The following is a 24,581-nucleotide window of genomic DNA, read 5'->3' as shown; positions in this document are numbered from 1 at the left end:
TGGAGGTAGCAGTGAGCCGAGATTACGCCATTGCACTCCAACCTGGCGAAAGAGTGAGACTCCATCTCAAAAAAAAAAGAAAAAGAGAAAAAATGATATCTACGGAAAAGTAATTGGCTTGAAGTGAGAAGTCCTGATGTCATAAGACTCCATTACCTCAAGCTATTTAGTCATCTATGCTTTCTCATAAGAAATCTTAATCTTGGCTAGGCAAGGTGGCTCATGCCTGTAATCCCAGCACTTTGGGAGGCCAAGGCGGGCGGATCACCTGAGGTTGGGAGTTCCAGACCAGCCTGACCAACATGGAGAAACCACTTCTCTACTAAAAATACAAAATTAGCTGGGTGTGGTGGCACATGCCTGTAATCCCAGCTACTCGGGAGGCTGAGGCAGGAGAATTGCTTGAACCCAGGAGGCGGAGGCTGCAGTGAGCCAAGATCGCGCCACTGCACTCCAGCCTGGGCAACAAGAGGGAAACTCTGTTTAAAAATAAATGAATAAATAAAAAGAAATCTTAATCTCACAGGAATGTCATAAAAATGAGAAACATTTTGAGATCCCCAAAAGAAAATATATTAATTTTGATTTAAAGTGCTCAAACGATGCTGGCCCTGGAAATAAATGTCCACTAGGCCTATGAGCAGGTAAATCATGTTCTAAGGTGAAAACAGAGAAGAATATAAAACACTGACAGCAATATGGCTGCCTATATTTAAATGCAGACAAATACTGGGGAAGACTATTTTGTGCTTTCTGACTTTTAATCACCTTATTCTATAGCTATGGTTTTCAAACTTTCCTGACCACAACTCATAGTAAGAAACTCACTGTTTTAACTCAGTAACATTTAAAGTGTGTATATACCTGAATCAAAGTTTCATAAACAATGATTTCCTTATTATATGTGACACATTCTGACATTTTCTATTCTGTTCCACTGAAAAATACATTGCTGATTACAAGGCACCCAACTTCATAACCTACTAGTTGTTCATTACTCATATTTTGAAAACCACTGTTTGAGATCTAAAACTGAGGAAAAGAAACAAACATCAGCCTAAGCTGGAAAGTGAAAAGGATATCGTATCAAGTTCCTTTCACTTTTAATTTAACATCCATTTTATGAAAGAATACTTCGAATACTAAAAGCTTGCAAGATTACAATATATTTATTTATTTATTTATTTGAGACAGTCTCGGCTCTGTCACCCAGGCTGGAGTGCAAGTGGCACGATCTCGGCTCACTGTAACGTTCGCCTCCTCGGTTCAAGTGATCCTCCTGTCTCAGCCTCCCAAGTAGCTGGGACCACAGGCATGCACCACCATGCCTGGCTAATTTTTTTGTATTTTTTGTAGAGATGGGGTTTCATCATGTTGCCCAGGCTGGTCTTGAATTCCTGGACTCAAGTGATCCATCCGACTCAGCCTCCCAAAGTGCTGGGATTAGAGGTGTGAGCCACCACACCCAGCCAAGAGTACAGTATTTTTATTTATCTCATTTAATTAGTACAACAACCCATAAGACGGGCAGGGTAAGAAATTGCTGATTTTAGAGAAAAAGAAACCAAGGATGCAAAGAATTAAAAGGCCTTGCTTAAGTAGCCAGTCATGAGTAGGCAGGTAAATGGGGCAGGTCTGGGAGTAGTAATCAGCTCTCACTGATTACTAATATATAAACCTGCGCACTTCTATAATACATGTTAATAAGAGATTCAGAGACTCCCAGAAGTTCTATTGTATTTTTCAGCAGAGTAGAGACTTGTGTCCTAATTTCTTTTTCTAGCTATAGAAGTAATTACTGCCTTGAAGACCTCAAATCTTTCTTTCCTTTTTTATTTTAGAAAAAAATCTGATAATATTTTTCTAATTTAAATCTTTTTTTTTTTTGAGATGGAGTTTCACTCTTGTCACCCAGGATGGAATGCAATGGTGTGATCTCGACTCACTACAACCTCCGCTTCCTGGGTTCAAGCAATTCTCCTGCCTCAGCCTCCCAAGTAGCTGGGATTACAGGTGCCCACCACCACACGCAGCTAATGACACGGGGTTTCACCATGTTGGCCAGGCTGGTCTCAAACTCCCGACCTCAGGTGATCCACCTGCCTTGGCTTCCCAAAGTGCTGGAATTACAGGCATGAGCCACCGCGCCCAGCCTAATTTAAATCTATTTCTAAACAAGCTCAAGCACTTTACATTCAACTGCATGTGAAATTACATTTATGAACTTGCTTTAACTGCCACAGCAAGAACACAAGAGCATTATGGATTTAAACACCGAGAGAGAGAGAGGCAGCGAGAGAGGTTTAAATTACAGTAGTCATTTGAATATGTTACAAAAAATTTCAAGGCAGTAAGATTATTTAATATTGTAAAGAAGTTTCTAAAGATGGGAAAAATTCTTTCTCTGCAGTGAGAAATATCATCTCTATAAGAAAGTTTATTTATTTAAATTATTTATTTTACAGACAAGATTTCGTGCAGTTGCCCAGGCTAGGGTGCAGTGGCACCATCATAACTCGTTGCAGCTTTTAATGCCTCAGCTCAAGTGATCCTCCTGCCTCGGCCTCCTGAGTAGTTGCGACTCTAGGTGTGTACTACCATGCCTAGCTCCTAAGAAAGTTTAAATCTAATAGTGCCAGCAAAGGAATAGGTTATGAGCTTACAAATTTCGTAATTTTGTAAACACTTACTCTCAACAATTTGGTGTGTATGTCTGAAATTTCACCTAACTCTGCCGCTTCCAGGTTGATCTTCATCAACTTTTCATATCTGTATGAAAAGTCAAAAGAGAAAATTAAATGAGTATAATCAATACATAGTTTTAAAAAGATGTTTTATAAATAATAATTTCAGCTTTCATCATAACCATTTAAAAATAAAAAATTGATTCAAAGTCTATAAGCCAGCAGATTGTTAAAAAAAAAACCTGATGCCGGCCAGGTGCAGTGGCTCACGCCTGTAATTCCAGCACCTTGGGAGGTCAAGGTGGGAAGATCACGAAGTTAGGAGATGGAGACCATCCTGGCTAACATGGTAAAACCCCATCTCTACTAAAAATACAAAAAAAAAAAAAATAAGCCGGGCGTGGTGGCATGCACCTGTAGTCCCAGTTACTTGGGAGGCTGAGGCAGGAGAATCGCTTGAACCTGGGAGGCGGAGGTTGCAGTGAGCAGTGATTGCATCACTGCACTCCAGCCTAGATGACAGAGTGAGACTCTCTCTCAAAAAAAAAAAAACCAAAAAAACAAAAAAACCTGATGCCTTCCTGAAGAAGGAATTTTATCTGCTTCTATTTTAAATTTGCAGATTAAGGGATGGATAAAACAGAAAAGACAAATTAATTTCAAATAATCTTATATGAGGATAATAGTAAAAATACATTTCAGAATTAATGAAGGTCAATAGTGAATACTGATTTCATTTATTGTATTTCCTCTGCAGTACAAATAGTATATTCTAGAAAGAGGGCAGTTAAAAATATCATTCTGTTTCAAAACGTGTTCTCAGGAATAAGATTAACAAGTAAAAATAAACTAAAAGTAATTCCTATAATTCTAAAAATACTACTAAAAGGCTGTTCTAGAATATCTCTTCCTATTTCCTTTGTTGATTACAAGTTTCATATTTTCTTATTCACAGTTTCTGTTTTACAAGATAGAAATGAGATGTTTTTCCCACTACCTTTTCCTGCCCAATGGCTGGGAGGAAATGCCACTAAGAGATGGTGTTCACTTCTTACCAAGAAAACTGGCATTTTTGCCTTTGTGATGATAAAGTAATCACTAATCTAAGGCTGATCTTTATTTTATTTTGTTTTTTGAGATGGAGTCTCACTCTGTCACCAGGCTGGAGTGCAGTGGCATGATCTCAGCTCACTGCAACCTCTGCCTTCTGGGTTCAAGCGATTCTCCTGCCTCAGCCTCCCGAGTTGCTGGGACTACAGGCGTGCGCCACCACACCCAACTAATGTTTGTATTTTTAGTAGAGACGGAGTTTCACCATGTTGGCTAGGATGGTCTCCATTTCTTGACCTCGTGATCCACCTGCCTTGGCTTCCCAAAGTGCTGGGATTACAGGCATGAGCCACCGTGCCAGGCCGCTGATCTTTAATAGAAACCCTAGCATAGCATGCCATATTGTGCCAAGGATAACTAAGTCATTTAAATAGAAATGGAACATTTAATAATTTAACCCCTACTAGTAAGGAAGTAGTCTACTCACACTTTCACAGTTTTTTCAATGTTTCTGATACAGAAATCCAATGTGATCACAACTTCTGTCTTTTTGTGAACAGTTTCATTGTAATCATCTTTAATTAATTCACTAAAAAAAGAAAATTATTCTAATTAGTTTATCTAAGGAGTTATTTTTTCTATCTATCACTAATTATACTGCAGTACTACAGTTCAAAAACATTTTATAACAATATTCATGATATTCATCAATTCACACTTTTTGAAACATTATTATAATAAGCATTTCTGTGATCCTGATGTATTAGGGAACTCATATTTTCACAAACCATTACTACTTAGGTTAACAGTTTAAAAACCTAAGGTATTAAAATTACATTAAGGAGTAAAAACTAATCTACAATTACACAAATAGTTTGTAGAGCATTACAGTTTATACCACCAGAATTAATTTTTACTACTCAGAGTAGACTACTGTCTGATTTATACTTTAAACCAATTACAGGTTGAATATCTCTTATCTGAAATGCTTGGGACCAGAAGTGTTTTTCAGATTTTGGATTTTGGGATATTTGCATATATACATACTGGTTAAGCATCCCTAATCTGAGAATCCAAAATGTTCCAATGAGTATTTCCTTTGAGCATAAACTTTGAGCAAAAAGATTTGACTTTTGGAATATTTTTTATTAGGGATGCTCAACTTGTGATGTCATCTGAAGAAGGATGACACAGTAAGAAATATATAATTGAAGGGCTTTTGATCTACATCAGGGATCAACAAACTAAGACTTGAGGCCTGCTTTTTGTATGGCCCATGAGCTAACATTACACTTTTAAAGATTGTAAAAACAAAGAAGAGACCATATGCAGCTCACAAAGTCTAAAATATTAGACTGATCCTTTAAAGAAAATGTTTGCCAACAGTGGTTTACATTAAAACTATTTTCTCATGACTTATTGGACTATAAACTAATAAGTAAAAGGAATAAAAGCTTCATGGATCAGCAATTGACGATAGATAAGAGAAAATAAAAACTGTTAGTACACAGAGATTTTTCCAGAAACCAGTAAAAACAAGGAAGCTTCTTAGTGGAAACAGAAAAGCATAGGCTTAGGAACTAAGATATGTGAACACAGTGAAAAAGATAAACACAAATTTATGGGTTTCATATAATGCTAACAGAAAAAAAAAGGAGCCTAAAAAGAGTGATGAAATGCTTCATACACACTTTTGCAAGACGGGGTGGGTATGAGGTAGGCATACATAAACTGTCAAAAGCATTACAGTCCAAGGGCACATACATAGCGACATGAGTGCAGAAAACAAACTTCTTAACATCTGTCGGCCACAAGGCCATCATGATGTGTACGCAAAATTCAAAAGCTTTGAATGATGTGTAGAAACAAGCATAATTTCCAAAAGAGATAATGTATTTTCCATTTTTTTCAGATGGAAAGATGACATCTATAAATCATTAAAGTAAAAAACAGGTAAAAATTACATCCATCTTACATTTCTTAGAGTCACTTTCAGGAAGAAACTACTTAAACTAGATAACCAGTTATTCTGAACTAGAATAACTATATTAAGCGATCTAGTTTTAAAAAATTAGCTTTTAAATTGCTTGTTAGATTATATATTCATATTGTATAATTTCATTTATATGAAATGTCTGGAACAGGCAAACAGTATATTAGTGGTTGCCTAGGGCAGGGCTGTTTAGGCGGAGATGGAGAGTGAATACTAATGGATGCAGAGATACTTTCTGGGGTGATGAAAATGTTCTAAAATTAGTGATGATGGCTGCACAACTCTGAACATAATAAAAACCATTAAACTGTATGCTTAAATGCATGAGTTATATAGTATATGAATTATATCTCAATGTTGTGAAGGCTGGGTGTGGCTCATGCCTATAATCCCAGCTGAGGCGGGCTGATTGCCTGAGCCCAAGAGTTTGAGACCAGCCTGGGCAACATAACTAGACCCCCCATCACTAAAAAAAAAAAAATTAGCTGGGTGTGGTGGGGCATGCCTATAGTCCCAGGTACTTGGGAAGGTGAGGTGGTAGGATCACTTGAGGCCAGGAGTTTCAGGCTGCAGTGATCTGTGATTGTGCCACTGCACTCCAGCCTGGGTGACAGCGAGACCCTGTCTCAAAAAGAAAAAAAAAAAATACGGTGTGATAAAAAAGGACTGTGTACTTCATTTGGGAAAATGGTAGGAAATTAAGGAAGACTTTGAGGACTTAAATGCTAGAAAGTACAGATTGTACTGAATTCTAACAAGCCAAAGACTTCTAACATAGTTAAATGACAACCAACTACTCAAGGTCCTAGGAAAAGAAATGCATTTGCCGTCACATCCTATAGCGTGGTGTAAGTTTTAAAATTCAGATACTATTTGTTCTGTCTCACAAGGTCATTGTAGGACTCATGAAAAATGAGCTGCTAAATGTTTTATAAACTAAATGTGAAACAAATGTATTATAATAAAAATCAAGCACCTAACCTAACTAGTTTGAAGAGAGAAAATATCAATGATGGGGCAAGGTCTACATGAAAATCAATTTCAAAATTTCAATCTATTACTTACATCAGCCATCGTATCCCCTTTCGCATTAATTCCTGATAAAGCAGTAAGGTACTGGCAATTCTGCAGGCATAACACACAACCCCTGTTATTGCCTAATAAAGAAATAAAATGTCAATATTTGGTGCTAATTGTGGTATAGGGTAAGAAAAACTTTTACACAAAATTATTCAAGCTTACACATTTTTATCAGGTTAATTAAAAACACAATAAACCACCAATTTCTAAGAGTTAAAAATAGATATAAATATAATAAATATGTTATCCTTAACATTATCTAAACATGCACTATCTCAATGGAGAGAATTTTCTTATATAATGAATTCAAGAAAGGATAAAAAGTAAAAAAGAAAGACCACAAAATCACTTGGAAAGGGTATCAATTTAAGTGAATAATTTCCTAAGTCATATAGACATACATGAAGACACAATACATGTTATTGCTTCCACTATTGATAGGATACATTAAATTCAGATGTTTACATAGTAATTAAATTAAATACTAACCTTAGCCATGCTAGCATCCCCGTCTAAATCATAACGTGGATGTACTTTAGGGAGGGAAACTGAAATATGAAGTAAAATAAAATGAGAAAGAAAACTTTTTGAAAAAATCACTTTATCCTTTATAGAGCAAACACAATGTCTAAATTAAACATTAGTGGCAAAATCTGTAATGTAGTTTTCGTGATTAAAAAAACACCACTTCAAACAATAATGCTCATTCTCTAACAAATTACCTCAAATATTTCTAAGGAGTTTCATTTTTTCCTTAAATATACACCAACACAATGAGTCCAATGCTTCTCTTTAAATCTACATCAAATCCCAACCTTCAAATAGAACTGTAAAATTCTGGGTGATCCATTTTTTTTTCTACCAGTAGAATGAGTAATTTAAAAGATTCTAAAAATGCAGATCTAATTTTTCTTAGACTCTAAAGCTTGGCACAATGTTCTATACATACTGCACACAAAAAATATTTGCTGAAATTTATGATATAAAAGGTAATTTTGAGTGTTAGCAAAACACTTTTTAAAGAGAGTTACAGTGAAACGTATGACAAACGATTTTATCGTTTTAGGAAACAAAATATTTGAAGTCAAATCATGTCTACAAGGCTTTTTCAATTTTACAATTACTCTCTTTCAACTATAGTAATTTATAAAATTTTAATATTTATGAAAGCTCTACACTAATATTATCATCAGCTTTATAAGGATGACAATCATTTCTACAATGACAGACTTTGTGGATTTTTTTGTTTTTGAGACAGGGTCCCACACTGTCTCCCAGGCTGGAGTGCAGTGGTGCAATCTCGGCTTACTGCAACCTCTGCCTCTTGGGCTCAAGTGATCCTCCTACCTCAGCCTCCCATGCAGCTGGGACTACAGGTGCAAGCCACCATGCCCCACTAATTTTTGTTTTATTTTTTTGTAGAGACAAGGTCTCACTATGTTGCCCAGGCTGGCTGTATTTTTCTAATGGCTAGTAAGAACGACAAGAAAAATCCCAACTTACTTTTTTCATATATTAATCCTATGGTATTCAGAGGTTCCCGGCTTACTACAAATATAGGGTTTTCCTCAGTAGTTTTAGGGAAATGTTGTGCCAGCCTTCCAGGTTCTAAGACTAAGCGTCGCCCTTCGTAGATAAGTTCTTGATTTGAAGAAATAATTTTGGTTTGTTTATATACCAGTTCATGAAATATAGTAGCACTGTGTGAGAAAAATTCAAAAGGACACTATAACTGGGGATAAAGTGAGAGGCAAAATATTTTAAATGAGTGCAACAACATCCATTTCTAATTCATATCCCTAATATCATAACCAGTCCATATAAACTTGCTTTGTTAATGTGGATACTACAAACTCCATTCCATATAACCTGTCCATACAGTAAGCAATTCTAAAGTATTTTTATGTTTGGATACCTGTGTAATATACAGGATTCTTAATATTTTCTTTCCTCTGTGTGTGTGTGTGTGTGTGTGTGTGTGTGTGTGTGTGTATGTGAGACAGAGTTTCGCTCTGTTGCCCAGGATGGAGTGCAGTGGCACGATCTTGACTCACTGCAGCCTCCGCCTCCTGGATTCAAGCGATTCTCGTGCCTCAGCCTCCTGAGTAGCTGGGATTACAAACATGCACCACCACACCCAGCTGATTTTTGTATTTTTAATAGAGACAGGGTTACGCCATGCTGGCCAGGCTGGTTTCGAACTCCTGGCCTCAAGTGATACACCTGCCTCGGCCTCCCAAAGTGCTGGGATTACAGGTGTGAGCCACTGTGCCTGGCCAAGATTATTAATATTTTCAAATAGAGAACCAACATAGCAGAGCGGTTTAGAGCACTGACTTGAATCAGATACATGGGTTCAAATCTCAGCTCTTCCACTAACTTCCTATAAAACCGTAAGTGACTTAACTCCTCTGCACTGTTTCCTCATCAGTAAAATGGAAATAATAACAGTACCCACTTCACAGAATTGTTGTGAGGATTAAATGGCTTAAATATGTAAAGAACCAAGAACAGCACTTGTTATGTGACTATATGTTTGTTAAATACATTAATAAAACTAGGTATTTTCAAAATGATGCTTCGGGGGAAAAGACAGCTTCCCCATGAATAGATCAATGACATCAAAAGAAATGTTTCAGCAGCAATATTGTAATTTGGCTCTACAAGCCTCCACTGTGTCACCTTTTGAAAATTTTTTGTTTTTAATTTTTGTGTGTACATAGGAAATGAATATATTTATGAGGTACATGAGATGTTTTGTTACAGACATGCAATACATAATAATCACACCATGGAGAATGGGGTATCCATCCAGTCAAGCATTTATCTTTTGTGTTACAGAAAATCAAATTATATTTTTTTAGCTATTTTAAAATGTACAATTAAGTTATTATTAACGATAATCACACTGGGTGAGCTTTTTACAAAACATTGACATCACTGTAGATTCACATGCAGTTCTAAGAAATGATGAAGAGAGACACCATATATTCTTCTCCCAGCTTCCCCCAATGGTGGCATCCTGCATATAGCAAAGCATCACAACCAGCTATTAACATTGATACACCCAACTTACTCAAATTTCCCCAGTTTTACATGCAAGTATATGTATGTGTACAGTCATGCATTGCTTAATGATGGGAATAGTTCTAAAAACTGCATCATTGTGTGAACATCACAGAGTATATTTACAGAAAACTACATGGTATAGCCTTCTACACACCTAGGCTATATAGGGTAGCTAGCCTACTGCTCCTAGGCTACGAACCTGTACAGCATGCTACTGTACTTAATACTGCAGGCAGCTGTAACATAATTAGAAACAGTATTTGTATATCTGAACATGTCTAAACATAGAAAAGGTACAGTAAAAATATGATATTATAATCTTACGGAACCAGTGTTGTATATATGGTCCATCATTGACCAAAACTTTATATGCAGTTTTATCACATGGGTAGTTTTTTTTAATCACATGGGTGTAATGTGTTTTTGTTTACATAAAACAAACACTGATTATTTTTCCGGAGCCAGGTGCTTTAACCATTATTATGGTTAATAGTAACCATATTATCTGCATAGGGTTATCATAGGCAAATAACCATGCTAACAATGAAGACTTAGGCTTTGATATTTTAACATGGCAGGATAGTACACTTAGCAAAACCTGGCTGGTTTATTGGTAGATGCCATTTGTGGTTATGTGATTATGTAACTTGAAAGAAGGCACAGCAATGAAAGTACTTTTGTAAAACTTACAGTTTAAGAAACAAGCTAATTTAACTATAAATTTTAGAATTATCAATCCTTTTACTCCAAAAATAAGTGAAAAGGAATTTACTAAGCACTTAAATATAATTTTCCATGTGGGAAATGGGTACTTTTGGTGAAGCTGAGGCATCTTTTCTATTTCTTTTCCTAACTTAGGAAAATATTATATAACAGAACATGTTGATACAAGAAGAAAATAGAGATACTTACGTATTATAGCTATGAATATAAATCTTATGAGCTGTCATTTGTTGTAGCGAAAAAACATGAATTACCATTCGGTGAAGTATATCACTAGTTTCTGCAAAAAACTGGTCAAAACCCCAACACTTTTCCTGATCTGCTTCAAGGATGTTTGCAAGAACAGGGGTAAGTAGAACCTGAAGACCCCTAAAATAGTATTGAAAAGTTACTTGAAGAGTGAATATATCATATTCTGTCTAGGTTAAAAAATCATAGTATTTACCAGCAAATCAAAGGAACTGTCATTATTACTATATTAGATTAATTTAAAAAATTTAAAATCTGTCAACTTTTCAGAAAGCTAGGTAACCTTCATTTAATGCCACTCATCAATGAATAAGGAATTATAGCTTTTTTTCTTCTAGAAATGGGGTCTTGTTATGTTGCCCAGGCTGAAGTGCAGCAGCTATTCACAGATGCTTTATGCATTGCAGTCTCAAACTCTGGGGCTCAAGTATCCTGTCTCAGCTTCCTGAGCAGGTGGGATTATAGGTGTATGCCACCGTGCCAAGACCCATTACATTTCTGGTAGTTGTTTTCACGGCTGATTTGTAGTACTTAGAGTTCTTACTATTTAAAACAAAAAAATTATATAATATACTTTCTGGCATCTAAGCAATTTTTCTCAAAGAATTTGTAACTTGGTATGCTAAAGACTGATTCGATAGATAATGCCTGTTACCCTCCAGAAATATGCTGCAGTTCAGATCATCAGATTTTTTTGATTCTGAGTTTTGGCAATATAATTATTTACCAGCAAGTGTTCATTTTCTGAGCCCTTTACACTTTATCAGTTTTGCCTGAGATCCCCAAAATGAGTATTTCCTAAATAAAAATTTAACACAAATCACAGTTATAATATTAAATTTCTACTCTCCAACACAATGAATTTCTCTTAGTAATCTAGTTACATGACGATTTCATTTTGGAAACTTTTTAAAATAACACACACAAAAAACTGTTAACAATAGTGGTTTTTGAAAATGATTTCAGCATTGGAACTCTTGGTTTAAATGAATTTTCACAGAACCCAACATATAAAATGATAAGTGATATTTTATTAGCTTGTTTTATATATTTATTTATTTAAAGTCATACAAAAAGCACCCACAACTTAAAAAAGGTGATAAGCCACTAATTCATAACTTGTGTCCAATTAAGGATTATATAACTACCACACTCAAGAAAAATGGAAGCTAATTCAGTAATCACAGATACTAAATACCGATGCATGTCTTGGCTTTGTTTCCAGAGTGAAATACAAAATAATTTACTTTCTACTTTTAATTTCTTTTACCTTAATTCTTTCTTTGTGGTAACAGGATTCTTAAATGACAATATAATTTTTTTGATTTCTGTCTGTGACATTAAACAAGACCCAAATGAACATTTGAAATGCTAAAAAGTACAAAAAACTATTATTTCTCACCCTTTGAATAATTTGAATTTTTTAAAATGAAGATAATACTAAATCTCTTCATTGTTTGCTTTTTACAACTCCAGTTGAGAAATTTACTCATATCTAATCCACTATTTGTTATCCATCAATATGGAGGTCATTACAAAAGATACTAAGGTCCTGAGCATGATCCCTACACTGGGAAGAATTCCAAGACCAGTGATTACCAATCTCAAAAATGTATGCCCTGTGTCCTAATGAAGATCTTGGGAAATTATTCATATAGCAGAGAATAAATCTTTTCACCACCACGAAGACAAAAATCATTTATCAAAGCACATGCTTTGACAATATCTAATTAAAATAAAATCAAACTACACTTCAGTATTTGAGTATCTGTGGTTCTAGGCAACAAAGATTTCAAACACCAAAGTGCAAAAGATGAGAATTAGGTACACCATACTTACCGAGAAAGACTGCAAGAAACAGGCATGTCTCCACTCCAGTCAATTGGTCCATTTTCTGCTTTCTGTACTCCAGATATTGCACCAGAAGGCTTTCCTGTAATTATTTTATACCTTGGGAGGAACAAAAGCAGAATAAAATAAGCAGTTCATTTTTGCATGACTTATTAATGGGCTTTGCAAAAGTATTTCCTCAATTGCACCTACAATTATCTACTAGATGAAACTTTGTGATTGATGCTCACAGGATCCATAAAACAATCAAAATACTTTGAATCTGACTGACTGAAGTACAATAGTGGTTGTACGGTTATTTATATATGCCATAATTAATTTTCATTTGAGATCTCACAGTGCTTTATAACAGCATCTTGATGTTCACAACAAATATATTAATTTTTCCATCTGAAAAAACTGAGCAAACACAAAATAAGTTGTGTCACAGAATGTCTCTAGACCATGAAAAAAAGCATATAATCCCTCTTACCCATATTATCCAAAGGCACAACTAAAGTTTCTGCAGAATGAATAGTATTCTTTAAAACAAAAAAGATTATACTATATAGAGCACAGTATCAGATTCTTTGCACACTGGAAAACACACATTTGCACATTTTGGAAAAAGCACATTTGTTTAACATTAAAGTAAATGTGCTTTGAGCAAATTAATTATTTTTTTAAAAAATAGAACAAACCACCACAACTGATTTAGACCATTTGCTGCTTCCTCAGCAGTGGCAGCCAGGATTTCTGCCTTAAGAGATTTTTCAAAGAGGAAATTAACGTGAAAAATAAGGTGTGTTCATGTGACAACTATCTAAGAAGTAAGTGCACATGTGTGGGATTAATGCAAAAGAGAAGTGAATAGAATAAATGGCAAAAGTCTTAGGGGAATGCTTACAAGTTTTAAAAAAGTTTAATTTTGATAAGATCCACATATAAGTACATTCATAACATGCAAATGAGATGCTGAGGAATCAGCACTACTATAATGTTGGATGAATATATCTTTCATTAGTAAAGTAAAACAATTATTATTACTGAGTACTTCAATCACCTCTGAACATTCTTTAGCATCAATGTTCATAAAAAGTTGAGTTTCTGTGCTAATAAAATAAAATTCTTCTAATGGTATATCTGCCCACAAGGGTGTCAGATAAAATCATCAGGTATTCCTAGCTGCTTATGAGTCACATGTTTCCTTTATTAGTGAGCAGCACACACTTTTATTTAAACCATTTTTAGGGCAGCAAGAAATGCTGACATTGCTTTAAAGGCTGATACTATCTATGATGAAAAAAGTATGATTAACTGTTAGGCACAATTTATGTGTAATGAGAAAAACACAAATTATCAGTTTTTATTAATGAAGAGATTTCATTAAAAGGGCAATGACATAAAGCAGGCTCAATAGGATGCTATGCCAAAATCATCAGTACAGTTAAATAGGTGTCTTCTTCCCATAAATATGTACACTGTCCTTGCTGGAAAACACTTAAATACCCAAGTTATAGAAAAAGTCATTGTACCATCTGAATTTGTTTTACTTCCTCCAACCAACAAAAGGAAAAACATGCTTCTCCCTCAATTTTTTGAGAAGAGATTAGATAATTGTCTTTTTACAGTTGTGATTATTACTTTAAGTCAGGTTTGCTTCATAAAAGATAGGGCCAGGCTGGGTGCGGTGGCTCATGCCTGTAATGCCAGCACTTTGGGAGACCAAGGCGGGGGGCAGATCACTTGAGGCCAGGAGTTCAAGACCAGCCTGGGCAACGTGGTGAAACCCATCTTTACTAAAAATACAAAAATTAGCCGGGCATGGTGGTGGGTGCCTGTAATCCCAGCTATTCGGGAGGCTGAGGCAGGAGAATTGCTTGAACCTGGCAGGTACAGGTTGCAGTGAGCTGAGATCAGGCCACCGCACTCCTGCATGGGCAACAGAGTGAAACTGTCTCAAAAAAACAAAACAAACAAAACAAAAGATAGGGCCAAATATATAAAGGTCTGAGAAATATGTTAAGACCTAAAAGAATGGTTGGACAGGTTAGGCTGTCAGTGGTTGTTATCCATTCACTAAACTCAATATTCTTCACATCATAGTTTTATGTGTATGTGGTCTGGCCTTCTCATGAAACAAGGTTATTCACTAATGTCTTTTAAAATAAAAAGAAGTGTGGTCAATTATGGATTATTTTTATAATTAATTTCACATCTAGAAATCCATCTCTTCCTTGGCTTACAAAAAATGACTTTATACACAGTAATTATTTCATAATAATTATGGCAATACATCTCAACAAACTAGGCACAGAAGGAACATATCTCAAAATAATAAGAGCCATCTATGACAAACCAATAGCCAACATCATTCTGAATGGGCAATTCCCCTTAAGAACTGAGACAAGACAAGGATGCCCACTCTCACCACTCCTATTCAACATAGTACTAGAAGTCTCAGCCAGAGCAATCAGGTAAGACAAAAATAAAAGGCATTCAAATAGGAAAACAGGTAGTCAAATTATCTCTCTTCACTGACAGTATGATTCTAAACCTAGAAAACCCTAAAGATTTTGCCAAAAGACTCCTAGACCTGATAAATAATTTCAGCCAAATCTCAGGACACAAAATAAATGTAGAACAATCAGTAGCATTTCTATACACGGACAAAGCTGAGACTTTATCAAGAACGCAATCCCATTTACCATAGCCACACACAGACACAAAAATACCTAGGAATACACTTAACTGAGGAGTTGAAAGATGACTACAAGAACTAACACCGCTGAAAGAAATCATAAATGACACAACAAATGGAAAAGCATTCCATGCGCATGGGTTGGAAGAATCAATATCATTAAAATATCCATACTGCGCAGAGCAATCTACAGAATCAATGCTATTCTTATCAAATTATCAGTTATTTTTCACAGAATTAGAAAAAACTATTCTAAATTCATATGGAACAAAAACAGAGCCTGAATAGCCAAGGCAATCTTAAGCAAAAAGAACAAAGCTGAAGGCATCATATTACCTGACTTCAAACTATACTGCAGAGCTACGGTAACCAAAACAGCATGGTACTGGTACAAAAACAGATACACAGACTGATGGAACAGAATAGAGACTCCTAAAATAAAGCCATACATCTACAACCAACATATCTTTGACAAAGTTGACAAAAATAAACAATGGGGGAAAGGATACCCTATTCGAAAAATGGTGCTGGGAAAACTAGCTAACCATATGCAGAATAAAACTAGACCCCTACCTCTTACCATATACAAAAATTAACTCAAGATGAATTAAAGACTTAAATGTAAGACCTCAAACTACAAAAATTCTAGAAGAAAATATAGGACATACTCTTCTATACATTGTCTTAGGCAAATAATTCAGGATGAATACCCCAAAATCAAATGCAACAAAATAAAAAATAGACAAAGGAGACTTAATTAAACTAAAGAGCTTTGGCACAGCAAAAAGAACTCTCAACAGAATAAACAGACAACCTATAGAATGGGAGAAATTATTTGTAAACTATGCATTTGACAAAGGACTAACATCCAGAATCTATAAGGAACTTAAACGAATCAACAAGAAAAAAACAAACATTCCCATTAAAAAGTGAGCAAAGGACATGAATACACTCTCCTCAAAAGAAGACTATGCGCCGGGTGTGGTGGCTCACACTTGTGATCCTAGCACTCTGGGAGGCCGAGGCGGGTGGATCACGAGGTCAGGAGATCGAGACCATCCTGGCTAACATGGTGAAACCCCGTCTCTACTAAAAAATACAAAAAATTAGCCGGGTGTGGTGGCACGTGCCTGTAGTCTCAGCTACTCGGGAGGCTGAGGCAGGAGAATAGCGTGAACCAGGGAGGCGGAGCTTGCAGTGAGCTGAGATCGCACCACTGCACTCCAGCCTGGGCAACAGAGCGAGACTCCATCTCAAAAAAAAAAAAAAAAAAAAAAAAAGAAGACTACGCAAGCTGCCAACAAACATGAAAAAACCACTAATCATCAAAGAGATGCAAATCAAAACTGCAATGAGATACCATCTCACGCCAGTCAGAATGGCTATAAAAAAATAAAAAAAAGTAACAGATGCTGGTGAGGTTGTGGAGAAAAGGGAATAATTATACACTATTGGTGGGAATGCAAATTAGTTCAGCCCCTACGAAAAGCAGCTTGGAGTTCTCAAATAACTAAAAATAGAACTATCATTTGACCCAGCAATCCCATTGCTGGGTATATAACCAAAGAAAAATAAATCATCCTACCTAAAAAGACATGCGCTTGTATGTTTATCCCAGCAGTATTCACGATAGCAAACACATAGAATCAATCTAGGTTCCCATCAATGGCAGACTGGATAACAAAAATGTGGTACACATACACTGTAGAATACTATGCAGCCATAAAAAAGAATGAAATCATATCCTTTGCAGCAACATGGATGCAGCTGGAGACCTTTATCCTAAGTGAACTAATGCAGAAACAAAAAACCAAATACTGTTATGTTCTCACTTATAAATGAGAGCTAAATCTTGCGTTCACAACTTTTCCATCTGTGCTGTGGAGCCCATCATATTGTCTCGCCAATCCCAGAAATCAATTCTTGTAATTATCCCACTTATTTAATGCATCAAAGATGGACACAAAGATGGAAACAACAGACACTGAGGACTCCAAAAGTAGGGAGGGAAGGAGACAAGGGCTGAACACTTCTTATTCGGTACCACGTTCACTATCTGGGTGATAGGATCAACAAAAGTCCAAACCTCAGCACTACACAACATACCCTTTTAACTAAACCTTCACACATACCCTCTGAATCTAAAATAAAAATGGAAATTAAAAAAAAATTGTGACAATACATAAATGTGTATACATTATACTAGTAAAATATATCAAGTGTCTGGTCCAAATCTGCAACACTGGAAAAAAAAGTTTAATGTTACATTACTGCCAAAATGTTATTTTTAATTTTCTTTCATTTATTTATTTAGAGACAGGGTCTCACTCTGTCGCCCAGGCTGGAGTGCCGTGGCGCAATCACAGTTCACAGCAGCCTCAATCTCCTGGGATCAGGTGATCCTACCACCTCAGCCTCCTGAGTAGCTGGGACTATGGGAGCATACCACCACCCCTGGCTAATGTTTGTATTTTTTTATAGAGACAGGGTCTCACTGTTGCTCAGGCTAGTCTTGGAACTCCTAGGCTCAAGCTATCCTCCTCCCTCAGCCTCCCAAAGTGCTGGGATTACAGGCGTGAGCCACCACGCCTGGCCCAAAATGTTATTTTTTAAATGGTAAAAGGAATCAGTTCACTTTAGGGTAAGACTGATGTTTGTTTTAGATCTGGTAATGATTCTAATACTCCACAGAACTATGTATTTTTTTTCAGTTGTATGGGAGGAAAGTGCTGACAAGTATGCAGAGTGAAATAAACAGTGTGCTGAAATAAAGTCTAGAAAGCAGTACATTTTTAATGATGGGCCAAAGACTGAATACCATTTATACTGTGTATATAAGATATTTAAACATAAATATCTTAAACATAAAATTATGCAAACTTTTATAAGGCTGCATTCTTTTTAAAAACCAGGTAGCTTAAAATATCAGAAATGATTGTTAAATCAATTTTTATTAGCATAAACCACTAACAATAAGATGAACCAAGACAGAAATCATTTTTTAAATGCTTCTCTGATTTTAGATCGGGAAACCACTTACATCACTTCTTTATTCCTACGAGGCCCTTCAAAGGGTCTAAATGGCAGTGATCCAGTAGCTGCATGGTAAAATGTTACCCCAATGCTCCAAAGATCAACTGTTGCTCCATATTTCTTCTGATGATCTTTTCTTAGCACTGCTCTCTCATACATATCAGGGTGCTAAGATTAAAAAAAAAAGAAAAAAATCATGAACCTGTGACCCATTTCATTATACAAACAAATGGATACTCAATAATGCTTAGAAATTCTATTTTGTTTTCCTAATAACTTCACTTTCCCAATCTGAAAAGACTATTTCACATCTTCCCCTCCCTCCTCAAACCTCCACCACCTCCTTTGATCCTCAGTTTTGATGACCCTGCTTCATAATTTAATGTGGAAATGGAAGGAATCAGACCAGCACTCCCTTATGCCCTTTACCAAATACAACCTACCTGAATCTGTGTCCGTTTTATTTTTTTCTCTTTTTTTTGAGATGGGGTGGAGTGCAGTGGCTTGATCTCGGCTCACTGCAACCTCTGCTTCCCGGGTTCGAGTGATTCTCCTGCATCAGCCTCCTGAGTAGCTGGGACTACAAGTGCTTGCCATGATGCCTAGCTAATTTTTGTATTTTTAGTAGAGACAGGGTTTCACCATGTTGGCCAGGCTGGTCTTGAACTCCTGATCTCAAGTGATCCTTGAGGACCTTAAGAGCCTTGGCCTTTCAAAGTACTGGGATTACAGGCATGAGCCACTGCACCTGGCCAATCTGTGTCCATTTTCCAGGCCTACTTTCCAGTCACAATGGAACTGCACCTATACATGGCCAACTTTTCCATCTGTGCTGTAGAGCCTATCATATCATCTTGCCAATTCCAGAAATCAATTCTTGTAATTATCCCACTTATTTAATGCAGCAATGTTTCCCTCTGTTCTGATTCATTACTTTCTGCTTACAAACATGCTTTAATATCTCCCATTTTAAAAGATCTCTAAATTGACCACAAAACTCCTTTCAACAATTACCCAATTCTCTGCTTCCCACCACAGCAAAACTTCTCAGTACAGCTGTCCATGCTTATTATAACTGCCTTACTCCCTCATCTCCCATTCAGACCTAATGTATTAAATATCATATGTATGCTTTAACTTCCAAAACTACCTTGGGCCCTGAGCTTCAGATTCATATATCCTACTATTCTCTCGATATCTAAAAGGCAGCTCAAACTTAACGTATCCAAAATTGACTCTTGGTCTTCCCACTTAAACTTGTTTCCTCCTAAACTTTAAGTAAACAATACCACCACATATCTAGCTGCTCACACCCGAAACCTATCAGGCAGCCTTAATTTCTTTGCCTTATCCCTCAAATGCAATCTGTCAGGGTAAGTGCATTTAATTTAATGAAATTAAATTCTCTAGAATCAATTCAGAGGACTAACTTGACTGGGTTCACTGGGGATCTACTGACATTAAACACACGTCCTTACACATAGGACATATTACACCAAGCTTGTCCAACCTGCAGCCTGTGGGCCACATGTAGCCCAGGACAGCTTTGAATGTGGCCCAACACAAATTCATAAACTTTCTTAAAACATTGAGGTTTTTTGTGATTTTTTTAAAATAGCTCATCAGCTATCATTATTTTATGTGTGGCCCAAGATAATCTATCATATTTTATATGTGGCCCAAGACAATTCTTCCAGTGTAGCCCAGGGAAGCCAAAAGATTGGACACTCTGCACTAATACCATAGTCACTGAGAACAGATGGAGCTTCTAAGAAATTGTTTAGGAGCTCACAAAACCTAACAGATATTCTGATGGACATTTTGTTCTGCAGAGAATAACCAGTGGTCACACACAGCATGGCCTCCTGCCATCTGCCTTCATGAAAGTTATACACTTGCAACTTGAAGATTTTTGGAAGATAAATCTTGAAAAGTGTACGTATGGACCAAAGTAGAGTTACCACCTAAATGATCCCAAACCAAAACAATTCCTTATGACATTGTAGGATTTAGCTATGGCCCAGGGAACTGGGAACCAGTGTAGGAAATGCTGCTGGGAGGGGCTTCTAAATGATGCAATCTGTGACTCTCACTCCCAAAGGATCACAATCTCTGATTTCTGAGGGTCGGGGTGGTGGGGGGGTGCTGGAGATGGGGGTGGGAAAAAGACTCTTTTGAGAAACACATTTTAATGAGAAATCAGAATGCAGACAAGTATAAGAACTGGGTATTGACGTGAGTGTCCAAACATATGCCTACTAGATATATGGGATCTCAGTGGCTTTGCTGGTTCTGTAGCACAGCACATAAAGTGATTATTGTCCAAAGAAGTGATTGCCAAACCTTTGACCTAGCAGCTGGTACTTAGTGTGTAAATGGTGTCATGAAGAGGCCAAAAGTACCTGGATATGTCTGATGCCTTCTGGAATATAAAGCCTCCTGGGAAGAGGGGACACAGTGATTCCAGAAGGAGACAAAGACGGACCTCCTCACACGGTGCAATAATATACTGCCTAATTGGTACAGCTGGAAGCTATTCCCTGGGAGTGATTAACTTGGGGTGGCTTGACACATGCTGGTCTGATACATTTGTGCCCACTGGCTCTGTCCTGATGTGTTACTGGCTTGGTGTTACTGGGCCTGGGCTATTGCATCTGGAAGAAGAGCATAAGGATAAAGCTACTCCAAGGTTTTCAGGATTATATTACTGAGATGATATCCATCATATTAAAAACAGTAGAAGAGACAGGGTGTGGTGGCTCACATCCTGTAATCCCAGCACTTTGGGAGGCCAAGGTGGGTGGATCGCTTGAGGTCAGGAGTTTGAGACTAGCCTGGCCAACATGGTGAAACCTCATCTCTACTAAAAATACAAAAATTAGCTGGGTGTAGTGGCACACACCTGTAATCCCAGCTACTTGGGAAGCTGAGGCAGGAGAATTGCTTGAATCCAGGAGGTGGAGGTTGCAGTGAGCTAGGATGGCACCACTACACTCCAGCCTGGGCAACAGAGTGAGACTCTGTCTCAAAAGTATACATATATATATATAGACACAAAAATATTAGCCAGGTGTGGTGGTGTGCACCTGTAACCCCAGCTATCTAGGAGGCTGGCACATAAGAATCACCTGAACCTGGGAGGTGGAGCTTGAGTGAGCTGAGATTATGCCACTGCACTCCAGCCTGGGCAACAGATTGAGACTCTGTCACAATAACAACAACAACAAAAACAAAAAACAGTAGAAGAATGTTTTCTTTGGACTTTAACATACAAAAGAGAGAGAATTTAACATATGGGTTGTAGTTCCTGGGAGCTTCAAAACGAGGGAAGTTTCCAGTTAAATGTAGAATATAGCTAGGCTGCTGAGCCTTAGACTATTATTTATCTCATTCTGGTGCACTGTATTTGAATATTTCCCATTCTGAAATAGGAAATAAATAGAATGGGGTTAAATTTCAGCCTAGAGTACAGCACAGACTTGGAATTAATTTATTTAATGTTTTGCTCTTCCTGTTAAAAGTCTTAGAGGCAAAAGCTAAACTGTGTTCCCAGGAGGTTACATGAAAGATTAATAGTTGGTATTGGGGGAGCAACCTCATGAAGGCTGGTACAGGACTGCTGTTTGCTTGTTACAGTGATTATCATGATTGGAAAAGGCGGAGACCAGACACTGAAGGACATACTGCAGTGTATGTGACAGTTCTGAAAAATGATCCTCCTATATATAGCCTGAATGACTTTGGAATATTCTGCCAGATACTTGTGCAAGTGAGAAATCTATTTCGAACTCCATTTTATATATAACAAAGTATTTTTGTACAGCTTTTCCAAGAATGTAACTATATTTAAATTTACTTTTAGTTAGAAACTTTACCAAAAATTGTTCACTACTTTGGAAAATCATGTCAATAACAATACTACCATTTGTGATGTGATTCACTAATACAACATGAGTTATCACTGCACTTGTATTCAAAGTAGTATTACATATAGCTGCAAGCATATATCACTACTTGTTTGCTCATGAAGCTGTTTCTAAATTTTTACATATTAAATATCTATTATTTTATTATAAAATATGTTCCTTTACATTATTAAGATATGCTATTTTAATTAGGTGTGCAGGTTTATAATATTATCTAGGAATTTCATTTCAAGATACTGAAGGGAACACTACAAAATATTTATTATAACAAGGGGGTATTGGTCTGACAGGGTTTAAACTACTAGCCTGTCTGATCTGGCTAGCCCCCTGATCACTTCTTTAATTCTAAGTCCTTCCACTTGCCTCTTTACTCACTAAATTCCAGTAAAACTGCCATCTTTTCTGTTTCTCCAACTCCTGAGGTCATTCTTGTCTCCAGGCCTTTACAGCTGCTGTTTTCTCTGGGCCTGATGGAACCAGACTGAAGCCCAAGAACATTCTTAGAGCAGTAAACCTTGGCAAGCAGTGCCCTCCTGGGAACAGTAGTGTCCTGAGCATTCATCTACTGTGGCTTTGGCTATGACAGGTGTGGGCTCCAGAGACAAGGAGCTGGGCCTGGTGAACTAGCTTTTAGAAATAGGCTGTTCTTACAGAAAGTGGGGTTGGGGAAAAAAAAAAAGTACTGGGTGAGAGAAAGAGAAAGAGAGAAATTGAATTTTTGAACAAGTTATCTTATCTAATCATTGAATTTGAAGGACACGCGCTTGAGCTTGCTACTGGAAAGGAGGCAGTCTGGAAGAACATGGCCTTGAGCTATTTATTGGAGGCTCACTGCTCTAAGAGAAAAGACAAGGGGAATGTCTGAACTGGGGAAAGTGAAGGAATCAGGAAGTTGCCTTGTACCAAAGCTCTGGTGTGAATTCAGCAGTGTTGCTTCTAGAAGCAGAAAGCATGGTCTAGCCAAATATAACTGAGAAGACCACCAACAGAGAAATGAGAATGAAGATGTGTGTTGACTCAGTCACATGTTGAGGCCCAGGAAGAGACAAAAGGATAATAGCAAAAGCACAAATGTCATGTAGGACGGAGAAAGGAGCAGGAAGGGGGTGATTTCTTCTTGTCTAATTCTGCTTGGTGTTCTCGGTAGGCTAAGATGAAAGTCCCTGGTTTTGTGGAGCTTACATTCACGTGGAGAATTCAGGATATGAAGCCTGATTCCACTCGCCAGAAACGTCTGAGTCCTGCCTCTGTTCCAGCCAAGAGTCTCAGGAAGCTTGAAGGTGAATTCATTACAACTGTACTTCCCTCTGCTATCTAGGTTCTATGACACATTCTCCAGATCCACAATGACAGGGAGTTCACTGTATCACAAAGCAGCTCATACGTCACAACTCAGACAGCCAGAGGACCCCATAGGCATCCTGGGCCCTCAACAACACAGGTTGTAGGGGAGAGGAGGCTAGACTGATGCAGTAGGGTTCAGACTGATGCAGTAGGCTAGACTGATGCAGTAGGTTCTCAGCAAGCAGAGATGGAGGGAACTGCCGAGGAGTATGAGGACTGGTGGTTGAGTTTCTTTTCTGCAGGGGGAGGTAGCTTTCACAGGGCCAGGGAACGGCACAGAACAGCAGTCAGAACGCTGTGCCTGGCTTGCTTCTTTTTATCATTTCAGTGTCAGTTCATTTAGTCCTCAAAGGAGGCTTTCCCAGGCTATGTTTCTCCTGCTAGTCACTCTTTATCTTATTACCTTAATTTATTGTCTTTGCTAAACTTTAATGATCTGAATTTACTTTACTTACTTGTTAATTGTCTTTTTTCCCTACCAGAACGTGGGCTCCATAAGAGCAGGAATACTGTGTATGTAGTTCACCATAGAAGTCTGAGCACCTAGAACAGTATCTGGTATATAGTAGGCACTTCATAAATATTTGTGCAATGAATGAATAAAATCCATTTTTAGGTACTTTTTTTTTTTTTTTCTGAGACGGAGTCTCGCTCTGTCACCCAGGCTGGAGTGCAGTGGCACGATCTCGGCTCACTGAAACCTCCACCTCCCAGGTTCAGACAATTCTGCCTCAACCTCCCAAAGTAGCTGAGATTACAGGCACACGCCACCACACCCAGCTAATTTTTGTATTTTTAGTAGAGATGGGGTTTCACCATGTTGCTCAGGCTGGTCTCAAACTCCTGAACTTGTGATCTGCCCACCTCGGCCTCCCAAAGTGCTGGGATTACAGGCATGA

At 37.4% G+C, this 24,581-nt stretch overlaps 1 protein-coding gene across 4 annotated transcripts in view; it reads right to left on the bottom strand.

Annotated features, from left to right (window-relative positions):
* Positions 1 to 24,581, bottom strand: part of TBK1 (TANK binding kinase 1) — a 49,995-nt gene that overhangs the window by 9,305 nt on the left and 16,109 nt on the right. For all 4 annotated transcript variants that reach the window (XR_007063071.1, XM_005268810.2, XM_005268809.2 and 1 more), the window contains exons 6-13: positions 18,420 to 18,580; positions 12,688 to 12,798; positions 10,789 to 10,968; positions 8,311 to 8,507; positions 7,297 to 7,355; positions 6,793 to 6,884; positions 4,222 to 4,323; positions 2,691 to 2,769 (exon numbers count right to left, since the gene is read on the bottom strand). Coding sequence is in view for 3 of the 4 variants with exons in the window: in XM_005268810.2 (XP_005268867.1) it covers positions 2,691 to 2,769; positions 4,222 to 4,323; positions 6,793 to 6,884; positions 7,297 to 7,355; positions 8,311 to 8,507; positions 10,789 to 10,968; positions 12,688 to 12,798; positions 18,420 to 18,580 (981 nt within the window). In the remaining variant the exon portion in view is untranslated. The remainder of the gene's footprint in view (positions 1 to 2,690; positions 2,770 to 4,221; positions 4,324 to 6,792; positions 6,885 to 7,296; positions 7,356 to 8,310; positions 8,508 to 10,788; positions 10,969 to 12,687; positions 12,799 to 18,419; positions 18,581 to 24,581) is intronic.

The sequence above is a fragment of the Homo sapiens genome, chromosome 12 (genome assembly GCF_000001405.40).
Source record: "Homo sapiens chromosome 12, GRCh38.p14 Primary Assembly".
NCBI classification, from domain to species: Eukaryota; Metazoa; Chordata; class Mammalia; order Primates; family Hominidae; genus Homo; species Homo sapiens.
The sequence above is the reverse complement of the archived record's forward strand: the minus strand, read 5'-3'. Positions and strand labels throughout refer to the sequence as shown.